Here is a 20993-nt window from a genome sequence, read left to right as displayed (position 1 = left end):
TATTATTAAATAATACTTAGGTAATATTAATATTCATGTTAAAATGATGTTATATTTGGAAACAATAATAGTAAACGACCTTTGTACAATTTAGTACCTTTTATTTTTTAAACACTTATCTTTTCTCAATTTAGTCTTCTAAAGACTAAAGCCCTTTTAGGTTGGGCATGGTGGCTTACACCTGTAATCCCAGAACTTTCAGAGGCCAAGGTGGGGATTGCTTAAGGCCAGGAGTTCGAGACCAGCCTGGGCAACATAGGGAGACCTTGTCTCTACAAATAATACAAACAATTCGCCGGGCGTGGTGGTGTGCACCTGCAGTCCCAGCTACTCAGAAGGCTAAGGCAGGAGGATCGCTTGAGTCCAGAAGGTCGAGGCTGCAGTGAGCTGTGAATCTTTCAAGGTTCCTCTGGCATCTGGAATGTTCCAGGGGCTTCTTGCATGCCTTTACCAATCAGCCCAGGCTACTTCTGCTTGATTGGCTCTGGGCTGGCTCATGGTTTTGGTTGTCTTTGTGAACTTGTGCTGGCACCTTCTAGTCACTGCTCAAGCCACTTCCTCATACCTTGGCCCCACCCTGCCGTCACCTTCTCAGGCGGAAGTCTATGCCACACTTGGCTTGATACTCCAGTGCTGTTCGCAATGTCCGCCTCTGTGGTCATTGTGCCTTAGCCCAGAGGAAAACAGCTCCCCTTCCTCAGGGGTCAGCTCTTTTAGAGGGCCCTGCAGCAGGATTTCCTGAGCCCTGAGCTGTTGTAGTTTTTGTCATTTTACTGGCCCTGGGTGGGTCCAAGTAATACTCACCCCACTGTACCCCAAAACGCCCATCTCCCTGGACCTTCGGACTCGAGTTGAGTCTGGCTCATCTTTACCTGGACAACCAGGACTCCATCTTTCCCCAGGATCATTCTTGTCAAAGTCCTCATGGACTATTTTATGGTTCACAAAATTACAGTGGAGTCACAGCCAACTTTCATTTAACTTGAATAAATTTGGCTGGGCACGGTGGCTCATGCCTGTAATCCCAGCACTTTGGGAGGCCAAGGCAGGGGGATCACTTGAGGTCAGGGGTTCGAGACCAGCATGGCTAACATGGTGAAACCACATCTCTACTAAAAATACAAAAATGAGTCTGGTGTGGTGGTGGGTGCCTGTAGTTCCAGCTACTGGGGGGTGGCTGAGGTACAAGAATTGCTTAAACCCAAGAGGCAGAGGTTGCAATGAGCCAAGATTGCGCCACTGCACTCCAGCCTGGGCAACAGAGCAAGACTCCACCTCAAAACAAAACAAAACAAAAAACCCACAAAAAACAAAAACAAAAACTTACACAAATTCATCTACATGTGCTTGGCTGGGCCTCCCTCAGGACCTCTGGCTGCATCATGTATTCAATAACAAGTGGATGCAATCCAGCCTGAACCAGGGATAACATTTCTATAGCGCTTACTGTATACCAGGCTATACCAGGCAGTGTTCTGAATCCTTTGAATGCATTAACTCATGAGATAACATTCCTGTGAGGTGAATGTTATTATAGAATTCTCCTTTTATGGAAGAGGAAACTAAGGCAGAAAGGTCTAGTGACAACTCCCATCCTTACCCCCGGCTCACAAAGCTAATAAGTGGCAGCTCAGGGGTCCAAATGCATGTGGCTGGCTCCAGCAAGTGCCCTAATTTCTGTGGGATGGTGCCCCTGTTTGAACAATACCTGGCAAATACCTGTGAAAGAATGTGACTGACTGTAAGTGTTCCCCAACCTGTGTAGAAGCAGCAGCAAAGTCCATCATGTGTATGCAGGATTTCCAGAGGTAATTCTGACTGTATGCCCTTTCTCCCTGACACGAGATTTTTGATTACTTTAGAATTGAGCTTGGGAGGCTTAGGTGGGAGGATTGCTTGAGCCCAGCCTGGGCAACATAGTGAAGCCCCATCTCTACAAAAATTAAAAATACAAAAAGATTAGCCAGGCATGGAGGCACATGCCTGTAATCCAGCTGCTTGGGGGGCTGAGGCAGGAGGATTGCTTGAGCCCAGGAGTTCGAGGTTACAGTGAGCTATGATCACGCCAGTGCACTCTAGCCTGGGTGACAGAGTGAGCCCCTGTTTCTAAAACAACAACAACAACGACAAAAACTCCCACATTTGCTGCCTCTCCATTATAATTATGCAAAAGGCTAAGCAAAGTGATAACAAATATCTGTGTGTGCAGACTGAGCCTCCCCAGCTCATATATCTGCATTGAAGGCCTTTGTGGCCTTAAGTCTGGCCTGTCTCTTCGAGGGTGCTTCTGAACATCTAATCCAGGAAACTCTAAGCAAGTGTTTACTCCATGCCGAGAGTACTGAGAGCAGACACACAAGAGCCTCTGAGTCCAGCAGAGCCAGTGACACAAAGAGGGCCCAGAAGGGTGACTGTCACCTGCAGTCAGATGAGCAGGGTTTGTTCAAGCAGCTCTGTCCCTGCTCTCTGATCTGCCTGTTTTTCCTATGTGTGGGTGATGTACTTCCAGCAAGGCCCTGCCTGAGCCCATCTACTCCAGAAAGTCCAGTGTATACCAAAGGTACTGCCTGCATCTTACTGACAGATGAGTATGAACTCTAAGCAAATAATCCAGAGGAATGCTAAGGTGCAACTTGGTGTTTTCTCACTGATCCCTAATGCTGATTTTATTATTATTATTATTATTATTATTATTATTATTATTAATTATTGAGATAGGGTCTTGCTGTGTCACTCAGGCTGAAATGTAGTGGCGTGATCTCAGCTCACTGCAACATCTGCTTCCCAGGCTCAAGCCAATCCTCCCACCTCAGCCTACTGAGTAGCTGGATGACAGGCACACAACACCATGCCTGGCTAGTTTTTTTTGTAAAGATGGGGTTTCATCATGTTCCCAGGCTGGTCTTGAACTCAAGTGATCCACCTTTCCCGGCCTCCCAAAGTGCTGGGATTACAGGTGTGAGCCACGGTGCCCAGCCCTAATGCTGATTTTCATTTACTCTTCCCAGAGCTGATTGTAAAAACTGAAGCTAAAAACTCTTATAAAGTAGAGTGTTCTCAGGACCACCGCACTGCACAACTCTAGGGGTGCCATATATGTTTTGCCATATGAATAGTGCCCGTTGGAGCTGAGCAGGACACAGCCTGCCCAGATTTGCCAGGGTCAGAGTGAGACGTCTCTCACAGGCTGCCCAAAGGGAAGGGCAGTAATTGTCCCAACCTACAGATCTTTGCCCACCTGAGCCGACCCCACCCATCCTAATGGGAAACCGAGGCCTCTAGGGGTACCCCTGCTGCCCTGGAACTAACTCTGGGCAGGTTAGCATCCAATGCCCACTGCTTCTGTCCGGTCCAGTCTTTTTTCTGTGGCTATACTCACTCTCATCACTCTTCCAACTGCCAGAACTCACCTTACCTTGAAGTTGAAGCTGATTCAGTGTCAATTAAAAGGATTCAGTTACAACTGGTGGAGGTGGGCAGAATGGCAGAGGATGTAAAGGGAAAACAAAGCAAAACAAAACAAACCTGTGCAGAAGATGCTGAAAGAGGGAGAGAAATAAAAGAGGATAATATAGCAAACATCACCTCCACCCGTTCTTTCCATATATCCATTTAATCCTCACAATAATATTGTGTGGGCTCTTTAGCTTTAGCTCCCCACTCTACAGATGAGAATACCGAGGGCACAGAAGTGAGGAATTTGCCTAAGTAGACAAAGAATCAGTGGCAGCACCAGGCATTGGATCCAGACAGTCTGGCACTTGGGCCCTTGCTCTTACCCACTGCACCAGGCTGAGCATGGGAGGGTGGAGGCCCAGAAAATGTCAAGGTGAGTCTGGACTGGGCCAGTGGCCGGCAAAGGTGGGCAGAGGCTCCCTGAGTCACCACCCTCCTCTCCCCCAGCTGAGCAACTCACCGTAGTGGGGAAGATTTCCTTCAATCCCAAGGACGTGCTGGGCCGCGGGGCAGGCGGGACTTTCGTTTTCCGGTGAGTGGCAGCCAGGAGCCAAGCTGGGGACATGGCACTCACAGCCCTCGTGGGCACTGTCCCCTGGAGAGACATTCTTTCAAAGACTCCCCGAGGTGGGTACAGGTTGATCCCTCACTCGCCAGTCCTGCTCTTTCCTTTATCTGTTTTTTTTTTTTTTTTTTTTTTTTTGAGTCTTGCTCTGTTGCCCAGGCTGGAGGGCAGTGGTGCAATCTCAGCTCACTGCAACCTCCGCTTCCCAGGTTCAAGCAATTCCGGGCCTCAGCCTTCCCAGTAGCTGGGATTACAGGTGTGTATCACCATGCCCGGCTAATTTTTATATTTTTTTTAGTAGAGATGGGGGTTTCACCATGTTGGCCAGGCTGGTCTCGAACTCCTGACCTCAAGTGACCCGCCCGCCTTGGCCTCCCAAAGTGCTAGGATTACAGGTGTGAGCCACCATGTTTGTCCCTTTATCTGCTTTCCCTGAATGCCCCCCTGCCCCCGCCATCACCCACTTTCCAGGGGACAGTTTGAGGGACGGGCAGTGGCTGTCAAGCGGCTCCTCCGCGAGTGCTTTGGCCTGGTTCGGCGGGAAGTTCAACTGCTGCAGGAGTCTGACAGGCACCCCAACGTGCTCCGCTACTTCTGCACCGAGCGGGGACCCCAGTTCCACTACATTGCCCTGGAGCTCTGCCGGGCCTCCTTGCAGGAGGTGAGTTGCATTGCGGTTCAGGGAGGGTGAGTGGGAAGGTCCGGGCTGGAGAGTGATGCTTTGGCCCTTGCTGCTGCTCAGTACGTAGAAAACCCGGACCTGGATCGCGGGGGTCTGGAGCCCGAGGTCGTGCTGCAGCAGCTGATGTCTGGCCTGGCCCACCTGCACTCTTTACACATAGGTACCCGCACTTCCCCTGCCTCCCGCTCCCTGTCCTTAGCCCCTGCCTTCCGCCCTCAGCAACCAGCTTTCTTTCTGCCCCTCTCCCACAGTGCACCGGGACCTGAAGCCAGGAAATATTCTCATCACCGGGCCTGACAGCCAGGGCCTGGGCAGAGTGGTGCTCTCAGACTTCGGCCTCTGCAAGAAGCTGCCTGCTGGCCGCTGTAGCTTCAGCCTCCACTCCGGCATCCCCGGCACGGAAGGCTGGATGGCGCCCGAGCTTCTGCAGCTCCTGCCACCAGACAGTCCTGTGAGTCTATCCACCAAGTCCTCCAGGCACACAGCTGCCCCAGGCTGCAGGAATCCGTCCCTGTCCCAGTTCCCCTCCTGAGGAGACTCCATGACACTTGCTGTGTGACTTTGAGCTGCTCCTCCAAGCTTGTTTCCCTTAAAGAAGGGATAATTTGTCCCTCCTTCTACAGCAGTATCAGGACTGTTTTGCCACCCAGGGGACATTAGGCAATGTCTGGAGACATTTTTGACTGCCATGACTTGGGAGGGAGGGGCTACTGGCATCTGCTGGAAATGCTGCTAAATGTCTTACAGGACAGGACAACACCCAACACAAAGAACTAACAAAATGCCAGTTGTGCTGAGGTTGGGAAACCCTGAGCTAGAAAATGGTTTGTAATCTTCACTGTGCTTCACAACCACTGCGCAACTTAAAAAAAGAATGCCCATTGCCGGGTGCGGTGGCTCACGCCTGTAATCCCAGCACTTTGAGAGGCCGAGGCAGGCAGATTGCTTGAGCTCAGGAGTTCGAGACCAGCCTGGGTAACCTAGGGAGACCTCGTCTCTACCAAAAGCACACACAATTTAGCCGGTGTGGGTGTGTGCATCTGTGGTCCCAGCTACTTGGGAGGCTGAGGTGGGAGGATCGCTTGAGCCTGGGAGGTGGAAGTTCCAGAGTCAAGATCACACTACTGCACTCTAGCCTGGACAACAGAGTGAGACTCTTTCTCTCAAAAAACAAAAAACAAACAAACAAACAAAACCCCAGGCCCCACACCCCGTGATTTTTACCTAATTGCCTGGGTCATTTTTATGTGGAGCCAAGTTCCAGAACCACTGGTATCGAAGGTTTTGGAGGGCATCAGATGAGCTAATTAGTTGATACACAGAGCAGCGTCTGACCCACACAGACACTTGCGTTTGGGACCCCTGAATTACGGATTTTGAGTCACAGTGTGTGGGCGGAAGTTGAAGCCAGAGAAATGGATGCCAATCACACAAAAGGACAGTCACCAGGGAAGGCTGCCCCCACTCCTAAAGTTGAGAGAAAGCTCAAAGTGGTGAGCAGGGCTCAAGGACTAAATGCATGATGTCATGAGACTATACAGTTTATATTTAAATTAGTGGCCTATATATATATATATTTTTTTTTTTTTGAGATGGAGTTTCGCTCTTGTTGCCCAAGCTGGAGTGCAGTGACATGATCTCAGCTCACTGCAACCTCCACCTCCTGGGTTCAAGTGATTCTCCTGCCTCAGCCTCCCTAGTAGCTGGGACTATAGGCAGGTGCCACCATGCCCAGTTAATTTTTGTATTTTTAGTAGAGATGGGGTTTATGCCATGTTGGCCAGGCTGGTCTCGAACTCCCAGCCCTCAGGTGATTCACCTACCTCGGCCTCCCAAAGTGCTGAGATTATAGGCATGAGCCACTGTGCTTGGCCCTATATATATATATTTTTGAGACAGGGTCTTGCTCTGTCATGGAGTGCAGTCATACCATCACAGCTTACTGCAGCCTTAAACTCCTGGGCTCAAGGGATCCTCTCACCTCAGCCTCCCAAGTAGCTGGGACTACAGGCACACAACATGGCACCCAGCTAATTTTTGTATTTTTTTGTAGAGGCAGGGTCTCACCATGTTGCCCACGCTGGTCTTGAACTCCTGGCCTCCCAAAGTGCTGGGATTACAAGGTGTCAGCCACATGCCTGGCCCAATATTTTAACATTTGAGAAATTCCACATAAAATTTGGATTTCTGGATTTTCTTTAAAAAAAAAAAAAATCAGAATCGCTTGAGGCCAAAAGTTCAAGATCGGGCTGGGTAACATAAGAAGACCCATCTCTACAAACAATTTAAAAATTGGTCAGGCATGGTGGCACATGCCTGTAGTCCCACCTACTCAGGCCGAGGTAGATTGCTTGAGCCCAGGAGTTTGAGGTTACAGTGAGCTGTGGTTGCGCCACTGCACTCTAGCCTGGGCAACATGAGCAAAGCCCCAACAAAAAAAAAAACAAAATCAGCTCTGCCACCCTGGAGAGTCCCCTGGTGACAACCGGTTGAAGCTAAGGACCAGCTGCCCCTGCAGAAAAAACCCATGCCAGGTCACCACAGTCCTCCTGATTGCCTTATTGCCTCATGTATGGCACCCACTTATGTAACCCTATACCCTGCAGGAATGAAGCTTGGAAACCTGAACTAGCTCAGTAAGGGCAAAGGTTTTGGATGAAAACCATGGGCCCCCTATAGTAGTGTAGAGGGGAGGGATCTAGAGCCAAGGAGATGCTGCCCAGGAAGCATCTTGAGTTCCAGTCTGAGCCAAACCCCTGGCAGCTCTATCAGCCCATGGGAGAATTTAGCCAGGCTGACTTCCTGGAAGCAGAGATTTCCTTCTCATGCCCATCTCTCTGGCTCCAGACCAGCGCTGTGGACATCTTCTCTGCAGGCTGCGTGTTCTACTACGTGCTTTCTGGTGGCAGCCACCCCTTTGGAGACAGTCTTTATCGCCAGGCAAACATCCTCACAGGGGCTCCCTGTCTGGCTCACCTGGAGGAAGAGGTCCACGGTGAGGGAGCCCTGGGCAGGGCAGAGAAGGGAGGACGGGCAAGACGCTAGGCAGGCCTGAAGCAGACTCTCCTCCTCCTCTTCCATCCTCCAGACAAGGTGGTTGCCCGGGACCTGGTTGGAGCCATGTTGAGCCCACTGCCGCAGCCACGCCCCTCTGCCCCCCAGGTGCTGGCCCACCCCTTCTTTTGGAGCAGAGCCAAGCAACTCCAGTTCTTCCAGGTCAGAAGGAAAGCTTGGGAATGGCCCCCAAAAGTCCTAAGTTTGGGTCCTGGGCAATAAGAAATGGGATATTAGATTAGCTGAGGGAAAACAGGAAGAGCTACCTGGTCCTGGGAGCCTGGCTCTTTCCCTAAACTGGGAGCCAGCCTGGACTCCTAAACTCCGCCATCTTGGCACTCTCTGGTCCATTCACTGCCAGCTTTGCCAGCCCCAGCTGCCCTTTGTATGGGAATATAGCCCATTCCTTTCCACCCGAGTCATCATTCATGCTGTGCCAGTAGCCCACTGCACTTGAGTGAACTTGAGCAAGAGACTTCATGCCTCTGAACTGCAGTTTGCTCAATCTGTAGAATAGGGACAGCAGTACCAAGCTCATAGGTTGGTGGTAAATAACAGAGGCGTGGCACAGAGAAGCTTCACGCCCCCAGAGGCAATGATCCTTGTCAGTCACCCTAAACTACTCCTGTAAGACAACACACTCCTGGCTATGTGGCCTCTGGCCCCGGTCACAAGGCTCAGGAGCTCTCTGGGCCCCAGGACGTCAGTGACTGGCTGGAGAAGGAGTCCGAGCAGGAGCCCCTGGTGAGGGCACTGGAGGCGGGAGGCTGCGCAGTGGTCCGGGACAACTGGCACGAGCACATCTCCATGCCGCTGCAGACAGGTAGAGGCCATACTCAGGTGGGCCTGGGCGGTGGAGGGGAGTGGGCCTGGGCGGTGGAGGGGAGTCTAGCAGGGACGGTTTTGCCACTGAATTCCCTGTCCACAGATCTGAGAAAGTTCCGGTCCTATAAGGGGACATCAGTGCGAGACCTGCTCCGTGCTGTGAGGAACAAGGTATGTGTTGGGGCCTGGGTGGGCCTGGGTCTTGGGAAGGCCTGGCCGCAGCTGAGCCAGGGTTCTCTGCTCTACCTACCCACAGAAGCACCACTACAGGGAGCTCCCAGTTGAGGTGCGACAGGCACTCGGCCAAGTCCCTGATGGCTTCGTCCAGTACTTCACAAACCGCTTCCCACGGCTGCTCCTCCACACGCACCGAGCCATGAGGAGCTGCGCCTCTGAGAGCCTCTTCCTGCCCTACTACCCGCCAGACTCAGAGGCCAGGAGGCCATGCCCTGGGGCCACAGGGAGGTGAGGTGGGCTGGATGCCACACAGATGGTCTCCGTGCTGGCTCACTGAAGAGCTGAGCCTGTGGCTGGCCTCAGAATCAGGCTGGGTGCAGTGGCTCACACCTGTAATCCCAGCATTTTGGGAGGCTGAGTGAGAGGATCACTTGAGCTCAGGAGTTCGAGACCAGCCTGGCCAACATGGCAACACCCCATTTCTACAAAAAATTTGTAAAATTAGCCAGGCATGGTGGCGCACGCCTGTAGTCCCAGCTGCTTGGGAGGCTGAGGTGGGAGAATCACTTGAGCCCAGGAGTTCGAGGCTGCAGTGAGCCAGGATCATGCCACTGCACTCCAGCCTGGTCCACAGAGAGACACTGTCACCCCCTTTCCCCCACAAGACTGGCAGAGGCTGGGCAGCCTGGGGCTGATGAAGCAGAGATGTTCGCTGGATCCCAGGCCCTGGCACCCCTCAGGAAATACAAGAAAAAGAATATTCACATCTGTTTAATGTGCATAAAGCCAAGGAAAGGACAGTTCCGAATTCAATAGAAATATTCTGTACAATTCATATGGTGGGGTTGAGGGGGAGGGGGACAAGGCTGTAGAACCCACACCCGAACATGTACAAAAATAACTTATACAGCAACCCCCACCTGCAAGGATGATGCAGCTCTGCCCAGCCACCGGGGCTGGGGGGCACACTGCAGACATGGCACCGCGGGAGCCAACCAGTATGGGCCCCAGATGCAGGTGGGAGTGAGGAGGGCACCAGTCCGGAGGGGAGGGCAGCTATTAGGAGGCCTTGAGACGGTTGCTGGCCGAGCGTGAGCTCAGCAGCTTGTCCACCATAGTGCGGGCGTAGCGGAGCCGGCTGGCCAGCTCCTTGCAGCAGCCGTACTCCTCCAGGAGACTCAGGCGGTATGTGCGGAAGTCCCGCTTCTCGTCGATGTAGGTCACGGCTGCCATCAGTGGGCACAAGATGAGCTTGGTGTGATCCTGCAAGAGAAGAGCAGCAGGGGTTGGCGATCCCAGAGGCCAGTGTATGTTAGGGAGTAGAGGGAAGACACAACAGGTTATAGGTACCTGAGCCGCTCACTCCACATTCAACCCACATGGGCCACTGCCAGGCATGCGGAGCCTACCCCAGCTCTCTCCTGCGCCTGGTGACCTCCAGCTCACCTGGAAGAAGTTGATCTGCACGCTGCCGTTGCTGAGGTGCAGGATGATGGCGCTGCGGGTGCGGAACCAGGTCCGTAGGTAGGGCAGCCGGGCGAGCTCATCACCTTCGCGCGGCGTGATGTTGGCACCTGCCTTCAGCAAGTGCTCGCTCATGTAATTGCGGAAATATTTAAGGAGGGTGATCTGGATGAAAAGTAGGTAAGGGGTTCCAGAATTAGAGTCTGATCCTCCAGCACAGGTCCCACTTCTGCAACACCACCCCCCATGGGCCGGACGGCACTCACCTTCTTCATCAAGGAGTTGGGATGGGAACTCACGGTGAGGTAGGACTCAGTGCCGTCACGCTCTATGTACTGCAGGCTGTCACCATCATTGTAGAGGATGAGGCGTGTTGAGTCATTGAAGAGCACCCCCACGCTGTTATCACAGAGCTGATACCCTAGGGATCGGTGGAGAGAGGTCTCAGAAAGGGGGAATAGAAAGTGGGGAGTGGGACCGGGCGTGGTGGCACATGCCTGTGATTCCAGCACTTTGGGAGGCTGAGGGAGGAGGATTGTTTGAGCCCAGGAGTTTGAGACCAGCCTGGGCAACGTAATGAGACCCCATCTCTACAAAATATTTTAAAAATTAGCTGAGCATAATGGTGCACGCCTGTAGTCACAGCTACTTAGGGGCCTGGGAGTTTGAGGCTGCAGTGAGCCATGATTGTGCCACTGCACTCCAGCCTGGGCTACAGAGCAGGACCCTGTCTCTGGAAAAAAAAAAAGCTGGGGAGTCAGGGAGCACTGGGAGCTGGAACTGGGAGGCCTGGGATGGAGAGAGGAGGGCACTGAGAACAGTACCTGGGAGCTCAAAAAGGCCAGAGTCTGTAACAACTGAAAAGGTCACCTGGCTGTGCCTGAGTCACCCACCTGTTCTGGAAGAAACCTACCAAGGCCGTACTTGTCCGAATAGTCCACCCACTTGCTGACCCAGAAGATGGGGATGCAGGCAGGATCCTCAGCCTCCTCTGAGACAGAAACAGACAGACAGTTAGTTGGTCAGGACCAGCCTCTTCCCCTCTGCTCCACACATGTGGCCCACACCAGGGAACAGGGAAGCCTGCTGGGCACCCCACCTGGGCTCAGTTGAGAGGCCTAGGGCCCCAGAGAAGAGCAAAGCAGGGCCTCTGCTGCCAGCAGGCTCAGACAAGCAGCAGCACAGATATCTCTGCAGAGAAAGTCTCAGCACAGCGCACCAAGTTCCACTCACTCCTTCATTCCACTGACCCATTTACTGAAGGCCTACCGTGCCAGGCACTGTTGCAGGTTCAGTGAGCAACAGACAAAACCCCAGCCTCCACGGAGCTTACACTGTGGTTGTAGGGGCAAAGACTAATCAATTTAAGTATGGGCAAAATATCAGTGACTTCTATCATGGTAAGAGTCAGAGGCATCTAGTTTTCCAGTTTGGAGTAATTAAGAAACTGTGAAGACAGAAGCCAGTTGCAAACACATCAAAATGTTACGTTCAGTGCATGCAACAAACCCCTTAATTTAAATCCAATAAACAAAGAAGGACATGTTGGACTATGTTGGGTGAGAAGTGTTATGGAGAACTATGCAGTGGGCAAGAGGATGAGAAGCACCAGCAGAGGGGCCAGGGAGATGCTCACAGAGCTGACACTGGAGCAGACACTTGAAGGAGGCCACAGTGTGAGCCATGTGGTGTCTGGAAGAAGTGCTTTCGTGCCAGGACCAGGGAGAAAGCCCTGAGGCTGCAGTACATCTGGGTCTGTTATTTCAAGGGTCTTGAAGATACAATAGGAACTTACTGAGCAAAAGAAACAGCGTATGAAGGTGGCACATCGAGGTGCTAGAGTAAAAAAGACGGATCAGAAAAGGCGGCAGGAGCCACGGAAGCAGGGCCTTGGATATCAGGAAATGGGGAAACCAATGGTCCTATGCAGACAGGGCCTGAACAAGTCACCAGTGCTTTGTTGGCCAAGCCTCCTCCTGCCTTTTCCAGATGCCCCAAGCAATCCTGCCCCGCCCAGGGCCCCGCAGTACCCACCTTGCCTGACCAGCCCACGCTCCGAGGGCTTGGAGGCATTGACACTGTGCAGCTGCTGCAGCATGTCACTGAGGTGGCAGTCGACCACCTCACCTGTCTCTCGAACCACTGGTTCTTCTTTTTCCCGGGGACGCTCAGGCAGGGGGTTCTCCAAGCCTAGGAAGGTGACAAAAACAGGGGCGTTGGGAAGGGCACGGGACTCCCCTGCCACAGCTGAAACTCTTCCGAAAGAAAAATTCTCTTAGCTACCACTGCTTTGGGGAAACTGAATCAGTGCCTGGTTACTAGAGCAGCAGCTGCCATGCTCAGGTGACAGGCACATAGTGCTCACTGTGAGGCAACAGATCTTCAGAAGCCGTGGCCTCTGACCCAACGGTGTGGCCCTGCAGGATGACCTGCCACTCAGGCAAACAGCTTGAAGGCACCAGCAGCTCAGAGCTGCCCAGCTTTGAGCAAAGAATGGAAAGCATCTTCAGCATCCAGGCAGATGGAAGGGCTGAGTAGTTCAGTTCATCCACAGAATGGATTCAGTAGGCATTTAAATAAAAACACAAGAAATTTTTTTCCACCCCAAAATTTGCTTTATATGCTTATTTATAACCAAAAAAGCTTGAAAAGATAACATGAAATTTTAACGCTGATTATATCTGGGCAGTAGAAACACAGATTATTCTTATTGTCTTTTTCCTTATTTATTTATTCCCCCACCACCATGTGCTAATTCTCCTTGTATAATATAAAATGTTTAAGTTTTCAATTAAAAAACGATGTCATGATAGGGACTTGGGTATGAAATAATAAGATATTAGGGATTTGCTTTAAACACTCCAGCAAGGCCAGGCCCAGTGGCTCACACTTGTAATCCCAACACTATGAGAGACCGAGGCAGGTAGATTGTTTGAGCTCAGGAGTTTGAGACCAGCCTGAGCAACATGGCAAAACCCTGTCTTTACTAAAAATACAGAAACTAGCTGGACATGGTGGCACACCTGTAGTCCTAGCTACTTGGGAGGCTGAGGTGGGAGAGTCACTTGAACGCAGGAGGTGGAGGCTGCAGTGAGCCATGATCTTGCCACAGCACTCCAGCCTGGGCAACAAAGCAAGAATGTCTCAAATAAATAATAATAAATAGTAAATAATAATTTTTTAAAACACCGGTAACAAAAAAGGCAGGAGGCTGGAATAAATAAAACAGTCTGTCCAAATGTTGATAACTAGTAAAAATAGATGAAACATGGGACTCATCATACAGTTCTCTCCACCTTCGGGTAACTGAAAATTTCCTTAAGTTTTTAAAATGCTATATAAAAAATTAAAACTGAAAGAAAAAAAGTAGGAGTCTGAGGCAGGAGGATCACTTGAGCTCAGGAGTTTGAGACCAGTGTGGGCAAGACCTCATCTCTACCAAAAATTTAAAAATTGGTCAGACGCGGTGGCACATGCCTAAAGTCTCAACTACTTGGGAGGCTGAGGCTGGAGGATCACTTGAGCCCAGGAGATCAAAGCTACTGTGAGGTACGACTGTGCCACTGCACTCCAGCCCGGGAGACAGAGCAAGACCCTGTCTCAAATTTAAAAAAATAAATAAAAGCAGAGAAATAAGTAATCCTTTAAAATATAGCCCAAAGAATAAAAATATCCATGAGTCTATTTCAGACATAACCAAATAAATAAATCAATCGGAGAGAAGGAACAGCTCTTCCTTACAGAAGAATTCCAATTATTAAATGCAAAAAAAGTGAGGAAAAGAAAAATTACCATTAGAACATCATTCTAGGCAGGGCACAGTGGCTCACACCTGTAAATCCTAACACTTTGGGAGGCCGAGGAGGATCACTTGAGGGCAGGAGTTTGAGATAAGCCTGGTCGACATAGTGAGATCTTGTCTTTACAAAAAAAAAATTTTTTTTTTTTTTTGAGACAGAGTCTCGCTCTGTTGCCCAGGCTGGAGTGCAGTGGTGAGACCTCGGCTCACTGCAACCTCCGCCTTCCAGGTTCAAGTGATTCTTGTGCCTCAGTGTCCCGAGTAGCTGAGATTACAGGTGCACACCACCACGCCCGGCTAGTCTTTTGTATTTTTAGTAGAGACAGCGTTTCGCCATGTTGCCCAGGCTGATCTCGAACTCCTGAGCTCGGGCAATCCACCCACCTCGGCCTCCCAAAGAAAAAAATTTTTTAATTAGCTGGGTATGGTGGCACATGCCTGTAGTCCTAGCTACTCTGGAGGGTAAGGCAGGGGGACTGTTTGAGCCCAGGATGTTGGGGCTGCAGTAAGCTATGAGTGAGCCACTGCATTCCAGCCTGGGTGACAGCAAGTCCTGAGACCTGTCTCAAAAAAAATTCCACTGTAATAATTGCTGCAAGGTATGTAGGAACTCTGGGGAGTTTTTTGTTGTTGTTGCAACTTTTCTGTATAAGCCTAAAATTATTCCAAAATGAAGTTTAAGAAAAACCAATACCTAAAAATTGAAAACTGAAAAATGAACTGAAGTTGTACATCAAATTGGTGATATATCCACAGAGAAAAAAAGTATTTCAAGTGACTTTTTAAAACTATGTATCCTTAGTGAAATCGAGATCATACCACTCCCCTCCAGCCTAGGAGACAGAGCCAGACCCTGTCTCAAAAAAAAAAAAAAAAAAAAAAAAAAAAAAAAAAAAAAAAAAGGCCGGGCCTGGTGGTTCACGCCTGTAATCTCAGCCCTTTGGGAGGCCGAGGCAGGCGGATCACGAGGTCAGGAGATTGAGACCATCCTGGCTAACACAGTGAAACCCCGTCTCTACTAAAAGATACAAAAAAACAGCCGGGCATGGTGGTGGGCGCCTGTAGTCCCAGCTACTCAGGAGGCTGAGGCAGGAGAACGGCGTGAACCCGGGAGGCAGAGCTTGCAGTGAGCCGGGATCACGCCACAAAAAAAAGGAAATTTTTATGTTTTTCAATGAATCATGAAAAAGTGTTAGAAATTTTTTTAAAGGCCAGATGTAGCAGCTCATGCCTGTCATCCCAACACTTTGGTGGAGGTGAAAGGATCGCTTGAGCCCAGGAGTTCCAAGACCAGCCTGGGCAACATGGCAAAACACTGTCTCTACAAAAATTAGAAAAGTCAGCCAGGCATGGTGGTGCATGCCTGACAGTCCCAGCTACTTGGGAGGCTGAGATGGGAGGATCAATTGAGCCCTAGAGTTGAAAGCTGCAGTGAGCTGTGATTGTGCCTCTGCACTCCAACCTGGAAAATAGAGGAGAGACCCTGTCTCCAAAAAATTAAATTAATTAAAGTGATTTGAAAGAATTTTTCAGGCTTGGCATTCAATCCATTTTCTTCTTCTTGGGCATGGTACGTTTATCCAGCCATGGTAAGGTCAGTCTTTCCTGGCAGGGCCGAGAAGCAGATGGGCATTGGAACCACGGATTGAAGGACAGAGGCCTGTCCTACTCCACACCTGAGCTCTCAGGGCCAGGGACTAAGCTGCACACACCCCTACAACCTGGGCTTTCTCTGGGGGGTCTGCTCTCTTACCCAGACCCTTGTTGTACCTTTATTGAGGACTGTGAGGGGCTTCCGGTTGCTGGGGTCCAGGCTGCTGGGAGCAATCGAAAACCTTGGTGGAATGGTCAGGCAGGTGATGGGGAGACGGGCAGGGATATAGCCAGAAGTAAAGAACTCGTCATTAAGCAGCTCGTTAATGGTTGGGCGGGCAGTGGGATCTGTCTGAAGCATCTTCTGGATGAGGGAGGCGGCCACGGGGTTGATGTGCTGGGGCAGAGAGAGGGACAGCCATAAGCAGAATGTGAAGGGGACCTGGAGTACAGTACGGCCTCAAAGGAGCTGCAGGTCCCCAGCCCACATGCAGCCCCCAGTCTCAAATACACCACAGGTCAGTGGTTCACAACTTGGTTCAATGCCAAGTTCTCCACTGTCAGCTTTACTGAGCACCATTGACAGAAGGGTCAATGGACTGTGGCCGAACACCAACTCACTTTCCTAGCACTCACTATGTGCCAGGAAAGCATTCTAAGCACTCCTGTGTTTAGCTCACTTAGCCCTCACCAACTCATCTAAGGGGTGGGGATCTATTATCATCCCTTTTTCACAGAGGAGGAAAGTGAGGCACAGAGAGGGTGAAGGCCTTGTCTAGCTGGCTTGATTCCATGCTGTCTCTGACAGTGAACTGACACTTTGTGATGGATTTACTATGTCTGTCCTTATGGTGACAGGCCTCCTGGCTTCACACAAGGACACTACACTTCAAACTGGCTGTGTGCTAGGCTTCTGCAGGAACCAGCTATTCCTTTAAATGTATTTCTGTTGGTGGTTGTGAAAATGCACACCATGGCCGGGCGCGGTGGCTCACGCCTGTAATCTCAGCACTTAGGGAGTCCGAAGCAGGTGGATCACAAGGTCAGGAGATCGAGACCATCCTGGCTAACACGGTCAAACCCTGTCTCTACCACAAATACAGAAAAAAGAAGCCGGGCATGGTGGCTGGTGCCTGTAGTTCCAGCTACTCAGGAGGCTGAGGCGGGAGAATGCCATGAACCTGGGAGGCAGAGCTTGCAGTGAGCCGAGATTGTACCACTGCATTCCAGCCTGGGCGACAGAGCGAGACTCCATCTCAAAAAAAAAAAAAAAAAAAAAAAGAAAATGCACACAACTATGCCATTAGGAAGCCCTGGGATTCACAGTGATTCATAATTCTGAGAGCACTCACCACATGCAAGGCACTCTGTGAGGTGCTCCAAGGCAGGAACTCCACTTTATATATGGAAACTATGGTTCAGAAGATGCAGGCCAGGCTGGGTATGGTGGCTCACGCCTGTAATCCCAGCACTTTGGGAGGCCAAGGCGGGTGGATCACCTGAGGTCAGGAGTTCGAGACCAGCCTGGCCAACATGGTGAAACCCCGTCTCTACTAAAAATACAAAAAAAAAAAAAAAAAGCCAGGCGAGGTGGTGGGTGCCTGTAATCCCAGCTACTTGGGAGGCTGAGGCAGGAGAATCGCTTGAACCTGGGAGGTGGAGGTTGCAGTGAGTCAAGATCATGCCACTGCACTGGGCAACAAGAGCAAAACTCCACCTCAAATAAAAAAAAAAAAAAAAAAGATGCAGGCCATTTGCCCAATGTGATCTCGCTAAGTGGCAGAATCCATTTGAATTAAGATAAACCATTTCTAAAGATTAAGCACTTTTGCCTCCTACTCCTTCCTACCTCCTTTGTTTTTTGCTTTTTACACAACTTTTGGGTTACCCAATCTCTTGAGAATCTGCCAACTCTCTCCCCCTAGAAAAAATGCTTATGTGCACATACATGTCAAGTTCTGTATGCAATTTCAGACACAGGCCCTCTCAAGCTCTGTGGCTACCTTAGAGGTGGGATAGACCTATTTCTGGTCCTAGGATATTGCTGGGCTCCATAAACAGCTTCTGGGGAAAACAAAATAAATGTAAACTTAAAGCATCATTAGTCACCTTGGGAATACTGTATTCATTCTTCTTGATCCGGAGGTAGGTCTCTTTTAGGCAAGAAGTCTCAAAAGGTGGTTTGCCCACTAACAAGGTATACCTGTAAGCACAAGGTAGGATTTGGCACCAGTCTCCCAGCCACAACCCAGACATGAGAGAAATCATCTCAGGGTCAGAACAAAGGTCAGGCATCCTCTGGACACTCACTCTAACTCTGGGGCCCCTGAAGACAATCCCTAAGTCCACTGAGCAGCCCCAGAAGCCATGACATTGGCTAGAATAAGCCCTCAGCAGAATACACATGGTGAGACCAGGATTCTTAAGGGCCAGTGATTTTTTAGCTATAGCCTGTGGTCATCTAGGACTCTGTGCAAGGGCCTCAGATGCTGCCTGTCATGCAAAACAGGTCAAAGGGCTACCTGCGCTTACAGAAGCAGCTCCACCTTTAGCAGTTCTGTACTTAAGTCTTCAAGTTTTCATTTGAAAAAACCCCACTGCAAAGACGTATGAAAGCCATTGCTACAACTCATTTCTAACTCTCCAGTACCTAGGCCCAAAACAAGAAAGATAACACCTGAAAAGGCCCAAGCCTCTGCCTGCCACCAACCGCTGCTGATGGTCTTAATCCAGACAGACCACTGGCACATCATCTTTCCATCTGTAACTCCTGGCCTAATTTCCCCCACCATGCTAATGCTCATCGGTGTTTAAGACCTTATTGTGCAAGGGAATCACCAAGGGACCTTGTTAAAAATCCAGATTCTGATCCAGTAAGTAGTCTGGGTCCTGAGATTGTGTATACAAGTTCCCAGATGATGGTGATGCTGCCCTGTGGACAACTCTAGCAAAGGACTACAGTAAGGTTGTGGAGACTCTCCCTCCTCCTCCTCCGCTGTACCCATGACCTAGGCTGCAGAAATCCGACAGGATACACCAGTGACAGGGAAAGATATGACAATTAGGCTTTGTTTGGGGATGACTTGTCCCTTGGAGTAGGCTTTCTGTAAAGCAGGCCGAAAGGTCCACAGAAAAGGTCAGCCAGGTAGGATGTCCCAAAGTTGCCCCTGCTGAGACCAGGTTGGTCCAGAGACAACTCCCAACTTACATGATACACCCAATGGACCACACATCCACCTCGAAACTGTGCCCTTTCTTGCTCAGCACCTCGGGAGCTATGTAATTAGGAGTCCCACACAGGGTCTTCTTCCTCTCCCCGTCATATTCGACTTTGGTTGCCAGTCCAAAATCCCCTGGGACAGAGGGAGGAAGAGTTGGTACTTAGATGCCAGCCTCTGACATCTGTCAATGCAGAAGGCTAGTTAAGGTTTGACCATCCAGAACCAGGGCCATCTGATCCCACAAGCCTCTGCTCCTTGTATGTAGCAAGGCTTGCCCAGGAATCTTCCTCCCATGCTGACACCAGGGAGGTGCCTCCAGTGACACTTCTCACCCCTCCTTTTAGAAAGGGGCTATGCTTTGAAACAGGAACTGACAGGGATAGTAAAACTCCAATGCCTTCAAGGATCAAGCAAGTTAACCTCCAAGACTTGGCAAGTCTGTGAAGAATAGGGAGGAGTAGAGACTGTGGCAAAGAAGTCTGAAGGGGACAGCTGTTTTCCAGCCCAGCAAAGGGCTGCCCTAAGAAAATGCTGTCCTCGTATTACTGAAGCTTTCACCTGTTTAAAAGGAGTTCTGAATCAAACTTTTTGTTCAATCAAACCTTCCAATTTAAAAAATAAAAACAAATTCAAATTCTTTGTAAAAAAAAAATATTGCATTGGGGCACAAAAAAATAATGCATCTGTAGGCAAGATACTGACTTGTGGGTTGTCTCCTTCCTTTCTCCCAGCCTCCTCCAAATTCCAGCCTCTTGTAGTGATGTCAAGCACCCCTGCAGGCTCAGCAACTCACCTATTTTCACCTCCAGATCTTCATTCAGGAAAAGGTTGCCCAGCTTGAGGTCTCGATGAATAACTCGGTTTCGGTGCAGGTACTGGCAGCCAAGCACAATTTGCCGTAGGTAGTATCGGGCCTCAGGCTCAGTCAGGGCTTTCCTCCTCTTGTGCAGCTCCAGGAGAGACTGTGGGTGGGAAGGAGAGGGCAGGAGGGATGGGGAGGTGGATTGAGGCCGGTGGGGAAGGGAGAGGGTTACCAGGCAAAGGAAGCACAGGACTGGACTCTGGACTCCCAAGGGATGAAAGAGGGGTCTTGGTGGGTTTCTCTCCTTCCCTATGCCCCCACCCCATTCCTTCTCCAGCACAGCGGCATCTGGACCCTGCCTTAACACTGTCCACAACCATTCGCAGCACCCCTTCTCCTACTAGCTTCCCCCCTTACCTGGGGGTCCTCTCTCAGCCCCACTCCGGAAGCTCCGAGTCCCCAGCACCAGATCCCTTTCCTGACTCGTATCTCCCCCGGAAGGCCCGAAGTCTGGCTCCAACTACCCCCCCACTGACCCAGCTCCACCCCAGAAGCTCCCAGGGCGCGGCATCACTAACCTGGGACTCCTCCCTGGGTACTCCAGGGCCCTAGCGTCCATTACCAGCACCCCTCCCCCCAGCACCTCGCGTCCAGAAGCTGACTTCCCTATCAGCAACATGACTCAGACTCCACTTCACTGGAACCCCCTCCTCTAGCAGCTCCCAGAGCCAAGAAGCCCTTACCAAAGACACTTTCCATACGTAAGCGGGAGGCTCCCAGCACCCTTCTCTAGCAGCTCCAAGTCCCAGGCTCTCCCTTGCTGGGTACTCTTTCCAGCAGCTCCAGGTCTGGGCGCTCCAACTGCCCCGCAGGCAGTTCCAGTTCCCCAGCAGCGACACTCACCCTCCGGCGGCAGAGCTCCAACACCACGAACACGAAGTCGTTGTCCTCGAAAAAGCCGTGGAATCCTACGACGTGCTGGTGGGCGAGGCTGCGGTGAATGGATATTTCCATGGACATCTTCTCCCTCTGGTGCGGCTTGAGCAGCAGAGACTTAGGCACAATCTTGCCCGCGAACACCTCCTTGGTGTCCGCGTCCGAGATCTCGAAGCACTTGGCAAAGCCGCCCTTGCCCAAAAAGCGGCCCCGCACATAGCGCCGCCGGCTGCGTGGGTCCACTAGGACCTCCGGGATCTCTTTCGCCGGTGGAGCCGCCGCCGGAGCTCCGGGAGCTGCAACTCCGGGGACCCCGGCTTTCCCAGGGTCGGCCGGTGCCCGTGCCAGCTTCCCTGCAGTCACTGCAGCACTCATGCTCCCGAAGCTGCGCTGCAGACCTCGATCCGAGCAGAGCCTCC

General features: G+C 51.0%; 2 protein-coding genes across 8 annotated transcripts in view, besides 1 other annotated feature; one reads left to right on the top strand and one right to left on the bottom strand.

The window, feature by feature from the left end:
• ERN2 (endoplasmic reticulum to nucleus signaling 2) overlaps positions 1-9572 on the top strand; it is a 22913-nt gene extending 13341 nt beyond the window's left edge. For 3 of the 7 annotated variants that reach the window (NM_001308220.2, NM_033266.4, XM_047433506.1), the window contains 9 exons: positions 3904-3988; positions 4493-4682; positions 4764-4863; positions 4955-5154; positions 7551-7698; positions 7792-7919; positions 8457-8580; positions 8686-8753; positions 8839-9572. In NM_001308220.2, coding sequence (NP_001295149.2) covers positions 3904-3988; positions 4493-4682; positions 4764-4863; positions 4955-5154; positions 7551-7698; positions 7792-7919; positions 8457-8580; positions 8686-8753; positions 8839-9051 — 1256 coding nt within the window. In that variant the 3' untranslated portion in view covers positions 9052-9572. Of the gene's footprint in view, positions 1-3903; positions 4152-4492; positions 4683-4763; positions 4864-4954; positions 5155-7550; positions 7699-7791; positions 7920-8456; positions 8581-8685; positions 8754-8838 lie in introns of those variants that run through there. The other 4 variants (XR_950727.2, XM_011545711.3, XM_011545713.2 and 1 more) reach the window with 4 other exon arrangements.
• Positions 9515-20993, bottom strand: PLK1 (polo like kinase 1). Its single transcript, NM_005030.6, has 10 exons — positions 20542-20993; positions 19630-19798; positions 18824-18968; positions 17725-17818; positions 15793-16012; positions 12258-12413; positions 11137-11214; positions 10490-10644; positions 10206-10388; positions 9515-10022 (listed from the first exon to the last, which is right to left on the bottom strand). Exons 1-10 carry the CDS (start codon positions 20947-20949, stop codon positions 9819-9821), a joined length of 1812 nt encoding a protein of 603 aa, NP_005021.2. The 5' UTR covers positions 20950-20993; the 3' UTR covers positions 9515-9818.
• Positions 12393-12894: an enhancer, noted in NCBI's record as "H3K4me1 hESC enhancer chr16:23698309-23698810 (GRCh37/hg19 assembly coordinates)". NCBI's record gives its function as "activates a minimal SCP1, AML or CMV promoter by ChIP-STARR-seq in naive H9 embryonic stem cells {active_cell/tissue: H9 hESC(naive)}" and the evidence as "EXISTENCE:reporter gene assay evidence [ECO:0000049][PMID:30033119]".

Source organism: Homo sapiens, chromosome 16 (assembly GCF_000001405.40).
Source record: "Homo sapiens chromosome 16, GRCh38.p14 Primary Assembly".
NCBI lineage: Eukaryota > Metazoa > Chordata > Mammalia > Primates > Hominidae > Homo > Homo sapiens.
This window is presented reverse-complemented; position numbering and strand designations above follow the sequence as displayed.